Below are 19338 nucleotides of genomic sequence, written 5' to 3'. Positions count from 1 at the left end.
GGAGGCATGGCATGCCACGTAGGGCCACATGGGGAAGGACCATCTCTCTGGGGCTTTTGGGGAAGTTGGAAACAGGTGCTCTTTTTCCTTCCCGTTGATCATTAAACATTGAGTCCCTCGTCTCTAGGGAGGGGACTTCTTATTTACCCCTGGGTTGGGAAATAAATCATGACAGCAGCAATCAGACAACAGCAGAGAAGTGTGTGATCTGAACATCTGTGGGATGCCGTGATCCCTGGAGGAGCCCTTCACACTGATCCCATGAATGGCCCTCAACACATGCACGAGCAAGGAGCAAGCGTTCCGACAAGTGCTCTCGCAGTACTCCAAGGAAGAGGCTGAAATTTGACTCAGCAAAGCCCAGAGGGAAAAGGGAAAGTGGTTTATGAGTGTCCTCAGGAGCTATCACATCCTAGACACTAGGCACTTTCATCTAAATGACTCTGATGACCCCAGTGTTGTCAGTGCTCCTCAGTCAGTGGATCAGACTTGCCCTTGGCATGAGGAGGATAGTCAGTCACTCCTGGTCCCCTTCAGAGGGACCTTTTGAGAAAAAAATATAGCCAATTACTTATGTAACCCCAGGCACTCTGTCCTGAATCCTGGGCATTCCACCACCGTGGAGAAATAGGTTAGTCCCAGACACATGACACCAGCCTATGAGGCAGCTCCGGGACTCAGCTGCTCGAACGAGCGTCGCAATTTCAAGTTGGGAATTAACGGCAACACCTGACAACACAACACAATGCAGTAGCCATCAAGCAGGAAGCCCGAGCACTCCACTCTCAGCTGTACCTTGCCAAGCAGTGGCTGCTGTCTGTCGGGAGCAGGTAGCAAGTCAAGATCAGTCTAAGGACATTCCATGTCCATCTGGCATCAAACCACCCTGCTACCTATGCCAGTTGTTCTCAGGATTTGTTTTAATCAGGAATGGTAAGACATAAGGCACACAGACGTGGAAATGATTATCATGAAGGAAGAAGTTTGTGCTCATAGAGCTCTAGAAGCAGGAGGTGTGGCACACGGGGCCACATGGTTCGGAAGGATAAGTGTTGGTCAGGAGGCAGGGAGAGGGGAGAGCATGGCCCCAAGCCTTTATTGGGGTTTTCATAGGAAGGAATGGTTAAGACAAGGTACATATGCTGGCTAAGTTTAGGGTTGGATAGTTTGAATAATTTGGATGGGTTCAGGGCCATAGGGATGGTCCCGAGTTGTCTGACCCTAGGGTGACTTAGGGCAGAGAGAATATTGGCTTGGTGTGTGAGAGTTTGGTTTTAAAAAGAAGAAGATGGTTGGGAGTGTGGGCTCCAGATTAGCTGGTTTGTACATCAAAGGCACGCTCCCAGGAGAATTGTTTGCCACCCCGCCCCCGACCCGTGTGTCTCTCTCTCTCTCTCTCTCTCTCTCTAGGAATTTGCTAGCCCTGAATGGGGTGACCTCTTTGGATCAAGGACCCAAATGTTAGCGCATGAAGAATACAGAAAATAAGAACATATACTCAATACAAGGTTATGCTGCAGTAACAAACAATCCCAAGGTTGTAGTGGCTTTTTACACAACTAAAGTTTCTTTGCCAATGCTGCACATTCACTGCAGGTTGGAGGAGGAGGGCGGGTAGTCTGCTCACTGTAATCACTAAGGGCCCAGGATGATGGAAGCTTCATCTCAACACATGCCTCCACAATCACCAAGGCAGGGAAAGGGACTATGGCAAATTGCACCTGTGATCTTAAAGCTCCTGCCCAGAAGTAACAGTCAAATCATATGGGCACACCTAACCATGAAAGGGCAGAGAAGCTGAATCCTACCATGTGCCAGGATGGAAGAGAAGTGGGATATTTGTGATTAGTTCTGATGACTACTGACACCTGTCATTGGAACCAAAAGATTCCTCTTTTGCTTAAGCAAAAGGAAGAAGAATTGTTCAAAAGAATTGTGGCCAGGTGCAGTGGCTTGCGCCTGCAATCCTAGCACTTTGGGAGGCCAAGGCGGGCAGATCACTTGAGGCCAAGCGTTTGAGACTGGCCTGGGCAAGATGGTGAAACTCTGTCGCTACATAAAATACAAATATCAGCTGGGCATGCTGGTGTATGCCTGTAGTCCCAGCTATTCAGGAGGCTGAGGTGGGAGGACTTCTTGAGCTTGACTGAGGTGGCAGTGAGCTGAGATCGCACCACTGCTCTCCAGCCTAGGTGACAGAGTGAGACTCTGTCTCAAAATAAAAATAAAAAAGAATTGTAATAATACATGCCCCAACACCCCATTTCAGCTTTTTTTCTCATGATATAATGATAAATCTCCTCACCTGTGTGGCACATGAGAGAACTTGAAACATTTTCTTAGATATCATCTTACCTCTTCACACAAACCTTCTGAGGTTATTGGAGCATCCATTCACAAGTATTTGTGCATTTTACTGAGGACAAGTCAGCTCAGAGTAGTCTGGGGCTGAGCTGGAACTTGTGTCTGGGGCTTTCAACTCAAAAGCCAGTGTTTTCTCCATTCCTGCCTCAATCTGGGGAAGAGAAAACTCATGATTCTTTGCAGATCGCCTAAATTTCCCCTTAATTTGGCAACTTTTGGCTCACTCCGTCATCAGTCCTGCCTTACCATCTCCATCTGGATCATGGTCATTTTCCTTTGCCTCCCTTTTCTGGTGATTTTTAGGTCCAAAGACAAATTGGCACGAGGACCAGACATTTGGGTTCTTCCCACACAAGCCAATTCTCTGAACACACACAGTGGGCACCATGTCCAATAGTCATTAGTCAAGCTCTGTGGTCTGGTATTTACAAATTTCCAGGAAACGAGTCCAGCGTGGTGCGAGAGGCTCTCCGTTACTTTGTTCAGTAAGCTGAGATGTTATCAGAAGTGACAATTTTTAAAAAAATTATTATTTGTTTTAATATTTTAATCTGGAAGCCATTGGCTACCTGGCATTTTGAAAGTTTTCCAGTGGTTGAACATTTACAAGAACAATTGTGAACCTGTGCCTGTTGGCTTCCAAATACTGATCGTTCCTAAACATTCTCTTACCAGCATAATGTTGACCTTTGCACAACTTCCTTCTTTCTTTGGTGCTCACATTTCTGTGATTTAATCGTCCTTTTTACAAGTACTTTAAGAAAGAAAAAATAAAAAAGATTTTCTAGTAGTATTCCCTGGTTGGTGTCAGAGGACCCTAAACTCTAAGGAGAGGGAATGGTTCTTTATTTGGGGAAGTGTCAAGAGCTCTTGAAGGTTAGTCTGAGAGGCTGAGTTTCTATTAGCCTCAGGTCCTTGGGAAAGTCTCTAATGGGCTTTTAGGTCTCATCTGTAAGTAGAGATGATAACTACTTAAGTAATGCATCTCATAAATTTACAGTAAACTGCATAGACCCACAGGCTGAAGAATGGAACTTTCTTGGCTATTGTTATCAATGTTGAACTAGCCATATGACCTAACACACATACCACACAGTAAAATACAATACTGTCCCAACAAACTGAATGATAAAGGATTTGAGAGATGCTCTGGGATATCAGAGGGCATGGGGTCATTGTTATACACATGCTGGATCCCCAGCTCAGGGGATGGCCTCTGCTTAGAATTTCAGGAACTCTGATAAAGCTCTTACTCAAGATATTTTTGCTTATTTGCTTATTAAACATCAGGGAGCAAGAGTCACTGTATTAGGATATTGATTTGGCTGCTTTAACAAAAACCCAGTTTCCATGGATTAAAGAATTTAGAAGTTTCTCTCTATGTAAAAGTCTGAGCTGGTAGGGGCTTTGAGTGGGTAGGATCGTTCTGCTCTGGTTTATAGACTCAGAATCCTTCCATCTTGTTTCACCAGCCACCAAGTATTGCCCTCATTGCTGTGAGCAAAGCCTGTGCCCCATCACCCTCCAAGTCTATATCCCAGCCATGGGAAAGAGGGAAGGGGAAGAGGATGAGGAGGAGGAGGGTATACCCCAGAAGTTGCCACGTTATTTTCACTCATATCCCACTGGCCTCAATCACATGATCTATACTTAGCTGCAAGATAGGTTGGGAAATACAGTCTCTGCTGGGTGGTCTTGTGTGTAGCTAACACATTGGGGTGGGGGAGGGCAGGAGAATGAGCTAGTGGGTTTCTGTATTTTACTGAAATAGAGCAGATAGTGAGAGACAATTCACAGGTACGGTCATAAACACCCACTCAGCTGACTACAGCTCAGTGTGGCTTAATTTATCAGTTGCTTTCCTGGAAGCAGCTTTTCTGCAGGAAGAGAAAAGAACAGAAAGGAACTATGCAGTGGTGGGGAGGAGCAGGTGGTGATGTGGGTGCTTCTTGAGGACAGAGACCATGTCTCATTCACTCGGTATCCATGATATCTTCCACTGTGACTGGCGCACAGTAGATTGCCCCATAAATGTCCCTTTGCATCCCACTTCTTCCACAAACTCACAGGATTTGACCTGTGTAGTAAACCATGCCTGAATTAGATTGAATGCAATAGAATGGCAGACTGACAGAATTCACGCTCACTTGAATTGCTCGTCCTAAATCGACCTCAGCTGGGCCCTAATTCACCAACTAGGTGATTTCATCATTCTCCAGCTTGCTTTCATTCTCCAGCATTGATTTCTGGCCTTTATTGGTTTTGAGTCTGTGAGCGTGGGAGATTTGTTCATAGCAGTCTCCCAGCCACACTATTTGGCTTGGGTAGGAAGAGGTAGGGATTGGGAACTCTGGATGAGGGTAGGAAGGAGCTGCTGCTGAGGTGGTAAGTGGAGGGGCAGACGTGGATCTTCTGAGCTCCTGCCACTGTAGAGTTCAGGGACCAGCACTTCCAAGGGGTCAGCAAAGTCTCCAACTGCTGGAGGAGGGCAGGAAAGAGGCACTAGCCCTGGGCCTGAGCAGAGGTGGCAGCATGGTCACCAGGGCTTTGCCCCGCCATGCCCTCTCTCTGGAATGCCTTCCCTTAATCCTGGCCTAATTCCTATTCATCCTTCTGGATTCAGGAGCAGCACCTAACAGGGGCCCAGGAAGTCAAATTAACTGGCCTGTCTTCCCCACCTGCGTTTTCTCCATCATTCCTCAGCACACTGCATTTTAATGGTCTGTGTCTGTGCCTTCCCCCACACACTGTTCACCTTTCTGTTCCCCACACCTGAGCGCACAGATAATGGGCAGCTTCTGTGGGTACCGAGAGTTTCCTGGCACCAGCTGAACTGGAAGTGTATCCCTGGGGCTACTTCTATAAAAGACATTATTGGTCAAGGGGCCATACCCTGTTTGGTGACCCAAGGTTCTCATGCGCAAAAGCCAAACCTCACCTGGGCGCAGCTGGAGCTTGCCCAAGATGCCCAGCAGATGGCGCAGTCGTCCTCCTTATCTTCCCACCCTGGCCTAAAATCGGAACAAAGACCAGGGAAGCTGAGGGAAGGTGGGGTAGTGGGCAGGCCTCTCCTAGAACCCCGCAAGGGGAGACGCTTCCTGCAAAAGAAAACCTCAGGCCCAGACCCTTCACCTAACAGAACTCTCCTGCTCAGGCCCTGGGCAACATAGGCAGAGAAGGCAGAAGACAGAGCAGGCAGCGCAGGCCCACCCAGGGCACCCATTCAACCCTGCTCCCCAGACCCAGCTGCAGAAGCCCCCAGGGTCTCCTCGGTGCTTCTGAAATGCCACCATTAGGGCCCATTAGATACAACTCTTCCAGATCAGGTTTTGCTCATGGCAACCATGCAAGTCCCACAGTCAGTCCACAGTGGAACTTTCTACACCTGGACAGGTGGTGGAGCCAGGATTCAAATTTAGGTCTGCTTAGAGCTAAGTCTCAGTTTCTCATCTCTAAAAGGGAGAGATGGAAAGTACTTTTTCCTGGCAATGCAGCTTGGAGGGGATTCATTGTACATGAAGGTGTCTGAGAAATAAAAGATGCCCAGTGTTGGTTTAACTTCAAATATGTACACAGGTGCCTCCACTGGGGTGAGCCCTTCCACACATCAGAGGACTCATCAGTTCTTTTCTGAGAGTAGGTTTGATGTGATGGGGTTGGGGATGGGGGGACATGGCAAGGAGTCCTTGTCACCTCTCATCTGGACGAGTCCAAAGGCCTCCAAACTGGTTCCCTGCCTCCCATCGTGCCATCCCTCTCACCCCGCCTCCCATCCTTCCTCCTCATTGCTGCAGGTGTCTTGCAAATGGAAATCTGATGTCACTCTCCTGCCTAAAATACTCAGAATAAAGCCCAAACTCAGAAAAATATTATTCAGTGTCCTTTACAACCTGATTTCTGACGACATTTTAGTCTCATGAAATAAAATTAAGAAATGGACTTAAATCAGAATCAGCAGTGCCAGGGCCAGGGGCTGGAATGGGTCCTGGGTGATGATTCGGGTCAGCTCTGGGCCTCAAGGCCAGAAGCAGTGACAGGATGAGGAAGAAGGGAATGAGAGGGCTTGGTAGCCCGCATTGTCCAATTCTCGATCTGCGTTTTCTCAAGGGCAGGGCCTGGGACAGTGCCTGTAGTTACAGATACTCAGTCAGGATTTGTTGAATGCATGTAGGAATGAATGAACAAATGAATGAAAAAAATGGCTATCCTGACTGGGACTAGGGTTGACTGAGTGGTCACTCAGTCAGTGCCACCAGCCACTGCCTTTTGCTAACCTCAGAGGCTGGAAGGGGCACTGCTGGAGGACAGTGAGGCTAAGGAGAAGAGAGCTCGTCTCAGCTGCACCATCTGGGACCCAGCTCTAGGGGTCTGGGTAACAGTGACATCAAGAGCAGAAATCCTAGAGCCTGCTATGCCCACAGCCTCTGAATGCTTGTCCCAAACCTCCCAAGAAAATCACCCGGGCTGCAGAGCCCCAGGGAACCCCCGTGGTCATCCAGGGTGCATGGGCATGACTGCTGACCATCTGTTTCCCAGGATGGATTTCTCCCTGGCACAGATGGTGAATCCAGACTCCTCTCTCCCATGTCAAACAGCCAGCTGTGGAAGACACTGCATTGCTGCAGTCTCTGCCTGGTCTCTCTCGTGACCCCATTTTCCACATCATTCGCCTCCACTCCTCTCCACATGTTGGTTTCATTTCAACCTTACCCAAAAAGAACTCCTCCCTCTGGTTGGTCTGTTGAGCCATCTCACAAAATGAAATTCATAGCGTCTGAAGCAGTGGGAAACTCTTCTCTTTGCTTGTTTAGCAGAGACATGGGTATCCCTTCATCCCCCTTCACAACCTTAGCCCATCCTCATCATGATCTCTCACCTGGAATACTGGATTAGCCTCCAAAGGGCACCCTGCACTGGCCTTGTCCTCCCCAAGTCCAGCCTTCCCAGTGCTTTCCAGAAAGTAAACTTGATCTGGTTTTACTCGCTAAACCTGGTCCCACCTTCCCGGGCTTCTCCATCTTAGTAAACAACAGCTCCAACCAGAGACGTGGGAAACATCACTGCCTCCTTCTCTGCCTGCTGCTATACCCACCTTCCTCCCATTTAATCCATTAGCAAGACTTGCTGGTTCTCTCTCCAAAATATACTCACATTGGTCCATTTCTCTCCATCTCTGCACCACCTTGGTTAATGACTCTGTCATTTCTCACCTATGGTAGCCTCTAAGCATGATGACATCTGACACCCTCTGCCTCCTGAGCTCATAACACTTTCCTCAGCACTCCATTCACACCAACCTTCCTTCAGTTCCAAGAGTCCTCCAAAGTCTTTCCAGCCGCAATGCCTGTGCACTCACTGCATCCCCCACCCACCCCTCGCCCTGCTCCAAACTGTAACACTCTTTCCCCTGCTCTTGAAAAGACTGGGTTCTTCCCATTTTTTTAATACTTATCTAAAAGATCACTATCTTAGAGAAAGTTTCTCAAGCTATGCTCTCTAAAGAGGATTCCTTCTTTTATTCTGAATCACAGCATCCTGTTCATTTCTTGCCCCCCACCACTCCACGCCATGGAAAGTCTTATTAATTCAGTGAACTGATGTGCATTCTCATTTATTTACCATGGTCGTTGTCTGTCTCCCCACTGGAGACATGAAGATGAGCAACTTGTCTATCTTGTTCGATGTTATATCCCCATAGCCTGGCACGGAGTACCTGCTCAATAAATATTTGCTAACTGAATGTAATAAATGAATGGAAGATGCATCATGGCACTGTCCTGCTTTTCTCTGTCAATGGCTTCCCATTGTCCCCAGTATGCTGTCAAAACTCCAAACTCCATAGGGCTCCATTAGAGTTTCTTCACGACCTTACCTCAGCTCACCTTTCCAATGTCTTCATTAGGTTTATGGGGAATCAATCTGGAAAGGTTCAAGTCATAATGGGTTCCATGGTGCAGACGAGAGCACTGGCCTGGCAGTGAGAAAAAGGGACATTGAACAAATGATCTTTATGATTCCAGGCAGTGCTTCCATTGTGCAGTCTGAGGTTTGTTTGAGTGTGTGGTTAGTTTGTTTGTTTGTTTGCTGTTTGTTTTTTAAACCATAGCTGGGATGAAACTCTCAATCAAGAAGCCAAGGGAGAAATTTGAGAAGAGAAGCAACAGCTCTTGCTGTCTTGGATGGCTGGGAAGGGATATGCAGAGATCAGGAATCCCTAGTGCTGACTCGGGCCAGGCAGCGTCAGGAGTCTCAAGAAAACAAACCCTGGAGATTGGCAGGTCCAAGAGCAGGGCGGGGGGCCACACCGGTCTCGTTCACCTTCTATCCCCAGTGCTTAGTCTTTGGCACATGGTAGGTCCTTGGTGAAAGGTTGGGGGGAAGCACATGCCACGGGGACCGGAAACCCCGTCCCACTCATGTCACTGCTGAGTGTCATCGAGATCACAAGAAAGCCCCCCAGGCCATGGTCCCTCTCAATGAGAAGCATCTATGGATGGCAGGGGCAGGGCTATTTGCCCCACTCGTCTGCCCTCCTCAGACCTCAACTGAGCCTTCAGCCGCCCCCAGTGTACATGTCCTACTGGCCCAGCCTCAGTTTTGCTCCCTCCACTGCTAAACATATCTGACAGATCAAACATATTTGCTGGCTCTTTGCAATGGCTCTGTGTCTAGATAGGGTTTCTTTTCTTTTCTTTTTCTTTTTTTTTTCTTTCTTTCTTTTCTTTTCTTTTCTTTTTTTTTTTTTTTTTTTTTTTTTGAGGCAGGGTCTCGCTCTGTTGCCCAGGCTGGAGTATGGTGTAATCTGGGTTCACTGCAGACTCAACCACCTGGGCTCAAGCAGTCCTCCCACCTCAGCCTGCCAAGTATCACACACCACAACAGCCCACCTGATTAAAAAAAAAAAAAAGTACAGATGCAGTCTTGCTTTGTTGCCCAGGCTGGTTGCAAACTCCTGGGCTCAAGCAACCCTCCTGCCTCAGCCTCCTAAAGTGCTGGGATTATAGGCGTGAGCCACTGTGCTCAGCCCCTGGTTTCTTGCTCTAATCCTCCCAAGCCCAGCAGCACCAGGCAGCTGCCAGGATTGAAGAAGGCACCTCCGAGTCTCTAAGTCAGCTTCCTCAGAGAGTGTTCCCTCGATTCCTAGGTGTGCGGCTCTGGGTATAGACCTCCGGGCTCAGCCCTGACCACAGATATAAATTGAGCCTCTGCAGCAGGGATGGGGTAGGAGGAGCTGAGGGTATCTAGGGGCTTTTTCATGAACCACAGTCCTTCCAAGCAGCACAAGCTTCTCCACAGCAAACCCCAAAAGCTGTGTGCACTTCTGATTAATCCACTGAGATGAGTCCGCTGAGAGGGCAAAGTATCTCCACGTTCACACTGGGCACCAGAAGTTGTCACACAAAGCATCTGGCGGGCATGCACACTAGGTCTTTGAATCCTCATATCCCTCAGCGGTGGTTTTATTATCTCCACTTCCTCAGATCAGGAAACAGAGCCTTGGAGATGAGAAATAATTTGCTGGAGGTCACAGCTAGGTCTGGCCCCACGTCCAGTGGTTTTCAGTTTCTGGACAAATTCAGGGCTGGGAAGTTACAGTGTGGAAAAGGATCATCCTCAGAAGATAAAAGTGTCAAAATCGACGAGATGGCCCCCCAGGAGTGCCAGTGATCTAAAGCTGGGAGCTCCAGGAACAAGGAGAAGGATGGCTGCCCCAGATGGACCGAGACCGGTCAGAGACAAAGGAGGCTGGGTAGATGTCTGGGAGCCTTGTGACATTAGGAGCAGCTGGAAATAGAGGAGGGAAAGAAAGAAGGAGGCTCAGGAGGTGGTAACATCAAAAGGCTATCTCATGGCAGGGGGGATGCATGTTATTCCAGGTGGCAGGGCAAGGTTGGTGTGGGGAGGACAGTGGGGAGGGATAGCTGGCTGGCTTTGTAGGGTTATTCTCTGGCTCTAGCGGTTGAGAATGGTAAAAGCTAGTGCTTTAACATCAGGTGCCTCTGTAGGTTCTTCAGAAGCCTCCATCCGAGGGTCCTAACACAGGTGCCTGTCTTCTCCAGTGGCCACTCAGGACTAACACCTCAGTTTTCTGTGATCCACTCCATTTACAGGTTTATTCTGTTGAAGCCACATCAGCGCCTCCAGGCTGAGGTTATACGTGGCTTGTAAATCCTAAAATATTTACCGTCAGGCTCTTTACAGAAAAAGTTTGATTAAAGTTTGATGAAAAAATAGTATATGTTATACACCTTGCTTTTTTTTTTCTTTAACCCAGTAACCTATCCTGAAGGTCTCCTTCTATCAGTACTTAAGAGCTTCTTCATTCCTTTCTAGGGCACACAGTATACCATTGTCTGGATGGACTATGATTTATTTAGCCAGTTTCCTATTGGTGGACAGTTAGGCTGTTACCAACCTTCTGCTATTACAAATGCTGCTGCAATAGGTAGATTTGTACAGGAAGCTGGAGAAAGTTCCAAGAAATGTATATGCCCAGATCTCAGCACAGATCTCCTGAGGCAGTGTCTTTGGAGTCAGAGTCCCAGGCATCTGTATTTTTAGGAATTCCCCAAGCGTTGCACATGCAGCCAGGTTGGGGAATCACATTTACAGCTCATGCCTTCTGACGACAAGAAAGGCTGGATCCCCTTTGCTGGTCCCATAAGAGTCCAGAGAGGGAGGCAAGCATCTCTCATCCCATAGAGGAATATCAGTCTTCAAGGCCTGGTTGGCACTGGCCCCCCAAAGATTGGACAGAAAATTAGGAAGCCAAAGTGGTATTGTGATCTCAGAGTTTTTTTGTCTCTATTGAGACACAGTCAGAGCCTGTTCTGGCCCAGGGCAATGATGGGGAGGTACAGGGGTTGTGGACCATGTCAAGGGACCCCCGGGGAGGCTGAGCTGGGGACATGACATCTGACTGAGACTGGAAGCATAAGTAAGAGTTAGCCAGAGGGTAACAGCTCTTGCTATCTTGGATGGCTGGGAAGGGATATGCAGAGATCAGGAATCCCTAGTGCTGACTCGGGCCAGGCAGCGTCAGGAGTCTCAAGAAAACAAACCCTGGAGATTGGCAGGTCTGAGAGCAGGGCGGGGGGCCACACCAGTCTCGTTCACCTTCTATCCCCAGTGCTTAGTCTTTGGCACGTGGTAGGTCGTTGGTGAAAGGTTGAGGGGAAGCACATGCCATGGGGACTGGAAACCCCATCCCACTCATGTCACTGCTGAGGGTCATCACAAGAAAGCCCCCCAGGCCATGGTCCCTCTGAATGAGAAGCGTCTACGGATAGCAGCGGCAGGACTATTTGCCCTGCTAGTCTCCCCTCCTCAGACCTCAATTGAGCCTTTAGCTGCCCCAGTGAACATGTCCTACTGGCCCAGCCTCAGTTCTGCTCCCTCCCCTGATAAAGGAGGGAGGGACACAGGGAAGATGGCCAGGCAGAGGGACAGCGCATGCAAAGGCTCAGAGGAGACAGTGAAGGGCTCAGAACTGACTGCAGGAATTCACGCTCATTCAGTCTGGCTGGAACCTCCAACTCATGGGCCTGTAATTCTTTGATTCCTGTTTTTTTTTCTACTAGGCTATGAGGTTTATAAGGGCGGGGCCTGTGCCCTTTTCCTCCATCCCTTTCTCTTTTTCCTCCCTCCCTTCTTTTCTTCCTTCCCTGCTTCTTTCCTCATTTTGCCTCTTGGCTATATCACTGGTGTCTCAAATATTGGTGAGTGAGTGAGTGAATGGACTTAGGTCTGGGAGGTTGCCCCAGGGAGAACCAAGTCTTGAGTGGTCTGCATTTGTTCTGAAGCTCTTTCTCCTCTCTTCTGTCCCTCTCCACCAGCACAGTGGTTCCCAGGGGTGCCTCTACAGCACCTTCATGCCGTCTCCAGCCCAGCAGTCCCCAGCTGCTCCTGCATGCTGGAGGTGGGGCTGCTGGGAGCCTGGCCAGCTGTGGGAGAGTAGGAAGAAGTGGGTCCCTGCTGACCTGTCCTTCCTTAAGCTTTGTCCTGGACCTTTTCCCTCTGAACCTTGCTGCCGACGAAGATGGAGCACCTGCGGAAGCTCTGTACTCCATCCAGACAAACAGTGGAAGCTGCACGGATAGTCCTCCCCAGGGCTGGAGCTGCCAGGGCTCAGAGGCTACCACAACACAGAACTCTGGGCCTCACTACACACGTGTCCTGGCCTCATCCTGAAGCTTCTCACTTTTCTAAGCTATGCATTCAGCGATTCCTGCAGGGGGAGCACTAGTCCAGAAAGAAGGCCCGCCATCAGCTGCCCAGTCCCGGGGTAAGTCGCCTGCCCTCCCATCTGCTGAGCCCTGGGATAAAAGAGACTCGCTCATGCTAGGAATGGGGCTGGAATCAGGTACTCCTCCCAAACCCTTTTTATCCTAGACAGTGCAGACCTGGCTGTGATCTGCCTCCTTTCCTCAGAGCCCCACCCTGTGGCACCGTCAAGTGAGGCTCCTTTGTGATCGCTCCCTCACGAGTTGTAAAGAGCGGTTCTCTTCTCTGTTCACAACGTGGGGCCATTTGCCATGCCCTTCAGTCCCACTGTCCACACTAGTTTAGGTGTAGCCCTCACCTGGACTCCTGACATCCTCCTAACAGGCTTCACCCCTTCTGTTGTCCCCTGAAATCCATTCTGTGCCAGATGGCTGAGTGGTCACTTTAAACCCATCAGATGTCATCACTCTTACACTTAAAACCTGCCACGAGGCTCACCATAACACCTGCGCTCCTTGTCCCAGCCTCCCCGGCTCAGTGGGCCCCCTCTCCTCCCTGCACTTTCCCCAGGCATGCTGACCTCCCTCTGTTCCTCAATCACATTGAACTCCCTTCTGCACAAGACCTTGGCACCAACTCTTTGGTCACCCTAGAATACACTTCCCCCAGATCCACATGTGGCTGCGCAGGGTTCAGCCCCAGTGTGACCTTCTCAGGGAGGCTTCCTTGACCACTCAACCCAAAGTCACAGAGCATCTTTTTTACATATCACACTTGCTGAAATGATCTTGTTTGGCATTGTCTGTGTACTCCCACTGGAAGACAAGCTCTAGGAGAGTGTGAACCCTGTTTGTCATTTTCACTGTGGGGTCCCCACCTTCTGGAGCTTGAATTCCCTTCTCTTTAGAGCTCTGCGGGAGCTATATCTTTGTCACGGTTCTGAATCTTTTCAACAAACACTTTTGTTAGGCAGGAGGTCCAGCAGCCCCTTGCTTTTGGTTTTCAAAACTTAACTAAGATTCACAAATTAGAGCTCAGATCCAATCTCAGAGGACAGAGAATACTCCAGTTGATTGGCTTCTCTTTCTTTGATGTGAAGCCCTTTCATTTCTCCTACCTGCCTGCTGCCTTGCCCCACGCCATCTGCCTCCACCCTCCACAGACGGGCCCCTGGCCCCAGCCCTACTCCCTTGCCACCCATCCATCAAAGGAAGACAAGATCGGCTCAGGAGCCCCTGAGCTTATCTGAATCAAAGAAAACTAGGAAAAGAAGATACAAACAACATGCAGGGAGGGGAACAGGGCTATCAGAGGCCCTGGTCACAGAAGAAGTCAGCCAAGAAGCGTGCCAGGTGTCTGTGAGGGCGCGCAACCCTGACCCAGTGACTCACAGCGTGATGGACTCACTCTTGGTCAAGCTTTCCCCTGCATGAACAGCACCCACTGAGCCAGGGAGACTCTAGGGGAAAGTCCTAGAGAGCTATGTCTTAACACCAGCTTTGCCTTGCAATTTTTAAGGTGTCTGCATCTGTTTATTCCCTTGTCTCTTTATCTCCTCTTTAACCACTGCCCCCACCCCCTGCCCCAGGTGATATGAGAAAGAAAATAATAGCAATGTGAGCCAGACACTGTTCTGAGCCTTTTAAATGCTTAGAATGTTTCATTCACACAACAACCCTGTAAAATGAGAACTATTATTCCCTTTTTTTCACAGAAAACTGGGCACCGGGGAAGTTATGTAACTTGCCCAAGTTCGCATAATTAGTAAGGAGAACTGGAATTTGCTCCCAGGCAATCTTATTGCAGAGTGTGTGCTCTTAGCCACTCTACCACTTTTTCTCTAGTAGGATAATGGAGGCGAACAAGCCTGTTAACTGTGACACCCCCATGTAAGCATTCATTGTTTTTCAACCTCTTCTTCCCTGGCTTCTAGCATCCTCTGTGTCTCTATTCGAGTTTTTCTGCCCTGGGGCACAGAGGTGCCCAGGTGGACCCCTACCTTCTGGGAACCAAGCACCCAGTGCACAGCCTGGCATAACAGGTGCACAGGTGTTTATACAGCTGGACTCCACCTAGGAGGGTGGTTGAGGAATGAGGGAAGGAGGATAAAATGGTGGAAAAGCTGGAATTCATAGAGATTATTGATCATTCTATTAGTAATAAAAAATAGCTAATGTTTACTGAGTTGTAATTCCATGTCAGACATGGTTTGAAGCATTTCAGGTATCAAATGAAATGGTTATGCTGTTGATAAGGGTAAGATTATATATCAGATAAGTTGATATTTGGAAAGCTTATGCTGTCCAATCTCACAGATGGCCTCCAGGGATCCTCGCCTCCTGGTATCCTTATCCGTGCTTAGTCCCAGCCCAAACTGAGTCAGGGGTGACCTGTGTGACGCCAGTGCATCGTGACTTCCCCCTTGGTCTCTTGGATCACTCACTCTGAGGGAAGCCTGCCCCCATGCAGGGAGGACACTTAGGCGGTCCCATGGTGCAGCCTGTGTGGAAAAGAAATGAGGCCTCTGGCCAACAGCCACGTGAGTGAGACAACTTGGAAGTGGATGCTCCAGCCCCGCTTGAGCCTTCAGATGATGCAGCACCAGCCAATATGTGACAGCACCCTCACAAGAGGCCAGAACTGCCCAGGGAATCACCCCTGAATTCCTGGTCCATAGAAACTATGAGATAGTAAATGGTGGCTGTTTTATGGCACTGCATACCAAAAATAAAATTCTAAGGCCCCCAGTCATCTGAATGGACTTCCTCCTCAGCCAGGGCATTCTTAAAATTTAACCTGAAAGACTAGTTCAGGCCTTGATGAGAAGTAGAGGTTGGATATGTCTCATTATACCTCTCTAGCATTAACATCAACACAGACTTTAGTCTGATAAGAAACATTTTACAACCTATTCTCTCTGAAGCCTACCATCTGAAGGCTTCCTCTGCAAATAAGAATTTGGTCTCCACAATATTTTATATTAACCCAGACATTCCTTTCTATTGATCCCACGTCTTTAGATAAACTCAACCAATTGTCAATCAGAAAATTTTTACATCTACCTATAAGCTGGAGGCCCCTGGTTCAAGTTGTCCCACCTTTCTGGACCAAACTAGTGTATTTCTTAAATGTATTTGATTGAAGTCTCATGACTGTCTAAAATATATAAAACTAAGCTGCACCCCGACCTCCTTGGGCACATGTTCTCAGGACCTCCTGAGGGCTGTGTCATGGGCCATGGTCACCCATATTTGTCTCAGAATAAGCCTCCTCAAATATTTTACAGTGTTTGACTCTTTTTGTTGACAACACTGAGTTTTGGGGTAATTTGTTATGCTGCAATAGATAACGAATACATCAACTCTCATTTAGTCATCACAACAACTTTACAAAGTAGATCCTTAAATTATCCAGCATAAAGCTAGAATGGGTGGTGGCAGGCTTCTAGCCCAAGGAGTCCCACCCCAGAGCCTGCTCTGTAGATGTTCATGGGATGGTGCCCCTCTCTTGAGAGATTCTCTGGGAGACATAGCAGACCACAGTACCAGCCTCTCCTCAGTATCACCTTAAAAATTAAAGAGTACTGTGACCCTTCTCTAAAGATTTTGACTCACCTTGTCTAGAATGGGGCCTGTAGCCAACTCAAGGCCTGAATATTTCAGGACTCCCTAATCTTCTCAGAACGCCTCAGTATGCAATTATGGCTATCCCATTTGACTAGTCAGGAGGCTTAGACTATGCTGCAGTGACCAGAAATCTCAGTGGTTTAACACATAGAGGTTCATTTCTCCTTCCTGTCTCAATCTGACAGCAGGTGGGCAATTCTCCTCCATCTTGAACTGTGCCATCTGGAATACATGGCTTCCTAAATCACTGCAACAAGGCAAGGGAAAGAAAGTAGAGACCATTCGACATGTTTATAAGGGCCAAGACTGAAAGTAACTTATATGATGCCCAATATTCCTTGGCCAAAGCCCAGTCACATGAGCCTAATACCACTGCAAGGGAAGCTGGAAAATATGAAAAGCAAATGCATATCTGGTGAATCACATCAATGCTCTGCCACACCTATTATTTGCTGGCAATAATATACTATGTTGCAGATTTCTGTTTATCTTGATTTCTCAACTAGATAGAAGCTCTTTGAGGTCAAGAACAACCTTTAATTTCTCCCCTATAGGGCTGATCACTTGGTCACTGCTAAATGTGCTCTTCTGGATAAACTGGTGACATGGTCATTCTAAGGAAGTGACTAGTGGCCATGTGACATAGAGTCTGACAGATTTGGGTGCAAATCCTAACTCTAACCCTCGCTTGGCAAGTTCTCTAAGCCTCGGTTGTTCTGCCTGTGAAATAGGAATGACAATGACTGTTTTACAAAGTTAGAGTGCGAACTAAATGAAATAATTTAGAATATCAATTACCTGCCACACGTCATGCAACAGAGAGGAGGCTCAAAAACGATACCTATTATAATCTACAAAACCAGGGGCATCAAGAAGGATGAAATTCCTGGGGGCCTATGAGCCCCTTGAAATTGTATGCAAATATTTTGTATATGTAGGAATCCATAGGGACCTTTCACTACTCACTTTCCTTGTTTATTTATAAAAACACACATGTCATAATTCATTGTACAATGTTTACATATTACAGATTATAATAGCTCATGCATATTGAGGGCTTACCATATTCCAGGCACTGCTTTGGGTGCTTTGTGTGCATAAATCATGGAGCCCGTGAACTAGAGGCTGTTATTTTCATCCTTATTTTACAGATAAGGAAACCGATTCACAGAGAGATTAAGCTGCCAAAGGCCCCCCACAGCCAGTAAGTAGCTGAGTTGGTCTCAACTCAAACCCAGGCGGTCTAACTACACAGCACATTTCCAATGTCAGTCGTACTCAGACCAGCAGCAGCAGCACCTGGGAGCTTGTTAGAAATGTGAATTCTTGGGTCCCTCCCCAGACCTACTGAATCAGAACTCTGGTTTTTAATGAGCCCTCTCGATGATTCTGATGCACGTTAAAGTTTGTGAACCCTGTGCTCTGCTATTGTGCTGCCTCTCCACCCCATCAGTTAGTTCTTCTGGTACCTAGCACAGGTCTGTGGCTTACTAAGTGAACAAATTAATACTGTCACCTACACATAACTCTGGTTCAAAACCTTTCTTCTTGCATCTGATGTCAGAAGCATCAGAAGGAAAAAGCCTGCCCAAAATAAATTGGAAAGTGTCCTCCTTTGTCCTATTGGGGTCACCTGCACCCCTAGCTCTCCTCAAACTGGACAAATCAGCCATCAGAGCAGATCACTGGTCAAAACCAGACCAGAGCCCCATGCTGTCTGCATGCCAAGGAGAAAGGCAGAGAGTGGCTGGCTGTACCCCCAGGATGCTATTTTGTTCCTTGCCAACCACCATGCATCTCAAACAAGTGTGCAGCAAACAGATTGCAGCCCGGGACTCTCCCCACCCTCTGCCCCAGCTGTTCCTGCCTTGACGCCCAGCCTCTTCTCTGTGATCCCTCTGATATCCAGATGGCAGCAGACACAGTAGCAAAGGCAGCTCCAGGCAAGCAGCTCCCAAGCCAGCTGTGTATTTGATTAACAAGAAAGCCAGGCAGATGCAGCTTATCGGGAGGACTCACAAAGGCAGCGAGCAGACGGCCACAAAATGCCAGCCTGTTTTATCCTCTGCCCAGCCAAGGGAATTTTTCATGTTGATTCTGATGTTTGTTAAATGATACCATAATGACAGCCACTATGACGAAGCCCTTTCTATGGGTCAGGCATCCTGCATTACAACAACCTTTTGGTGGAGATAGTGTTGTTATTATTATCCCTAATTTACACATAAGGAAACTGAGGCTTAGAGTGACAAAATAACTCATCCAAGGTCACAGAGATGGTAAGTAGTGAAGTCAGTTTTCAGACCTGGGTCTACTGGACCCCCAAGCCTATATGACTAACCACTGCACTACACAGTGCAAGCCGGCACGGTGCACTTGAACTTGGGCCTGAGCAGGCCTGATGGGGCTCTTCAAGCAGCTACAACCCATATGTGCAGCCTCCTGGAAAGCATCTCAAAAAGCTTATTGAGTGTAATCTTCACAGCCAATTACTGAATAGATCCTCTTTGTTTAGAATTGTGATATTTTGTTGATCATGGATTTTTTTGCATTAATTTTGATTTTTAAAAATATTGCATTAAAATATTATTTATGTTGGCTACTGAGCTTTCTGGCACCCCCTTAAATTTTGTGCCCAAGACAAGGGTCTCACTCACCTCACCCTAGTCCCAACCCTGTTTAATTCTACAAGGTAGGGCGCTGGTGCAGTGTGAATAAATTATTGCACATCTACAGATGGGGAAACTGAGGCTTGAGGGGGACAAGGTGTGAATAATTTACCTAAGGGCACACTGCAGGTGGCTTGGGATATATTTAGTCCTGGGCTTGTCTGACTCCCGTGCCTCTGTTCTCACTGCACAAAGTTGCCCCCAGAGCACATCTTTGAAGTCATTCAGGACTGCTTTGCTACAAAGTTGGCCTTCCGAGACGGCCAGAAACCCACCCTGGGACTCCTATATCACACAAGGGTGATATGATGGCAGATTCTGCAGAGCCACCAGGGCACATTGGCTCTGCTCACCAGGTAAACTCCTTGATCTGCAACACAGAAGTAAAGAGAGGGAAAGGGCCTCAAACTAAAAGGGCCCTGGAGGACGGATCTTTTATGCCTTTCCCGAGGCTG

This window comes from Homo sapiens, chromosome 11 (assembly GCF_000001405.40).
Source record: "Homo sapiens chromosome 11, GRCh38.p14 Primary Assembly".
NCBI classification, from domain to species: domain Eukaryota; kingdom Metazoa; phylum Chordata; class Mammalia; order Primates; family Hominidae; genus Homo; species Homo sapiens.
The sequence above is the reverse complement of the archived record's forward strand: the minus strand, read 5'-3'. Positions refer to the sequence as shown.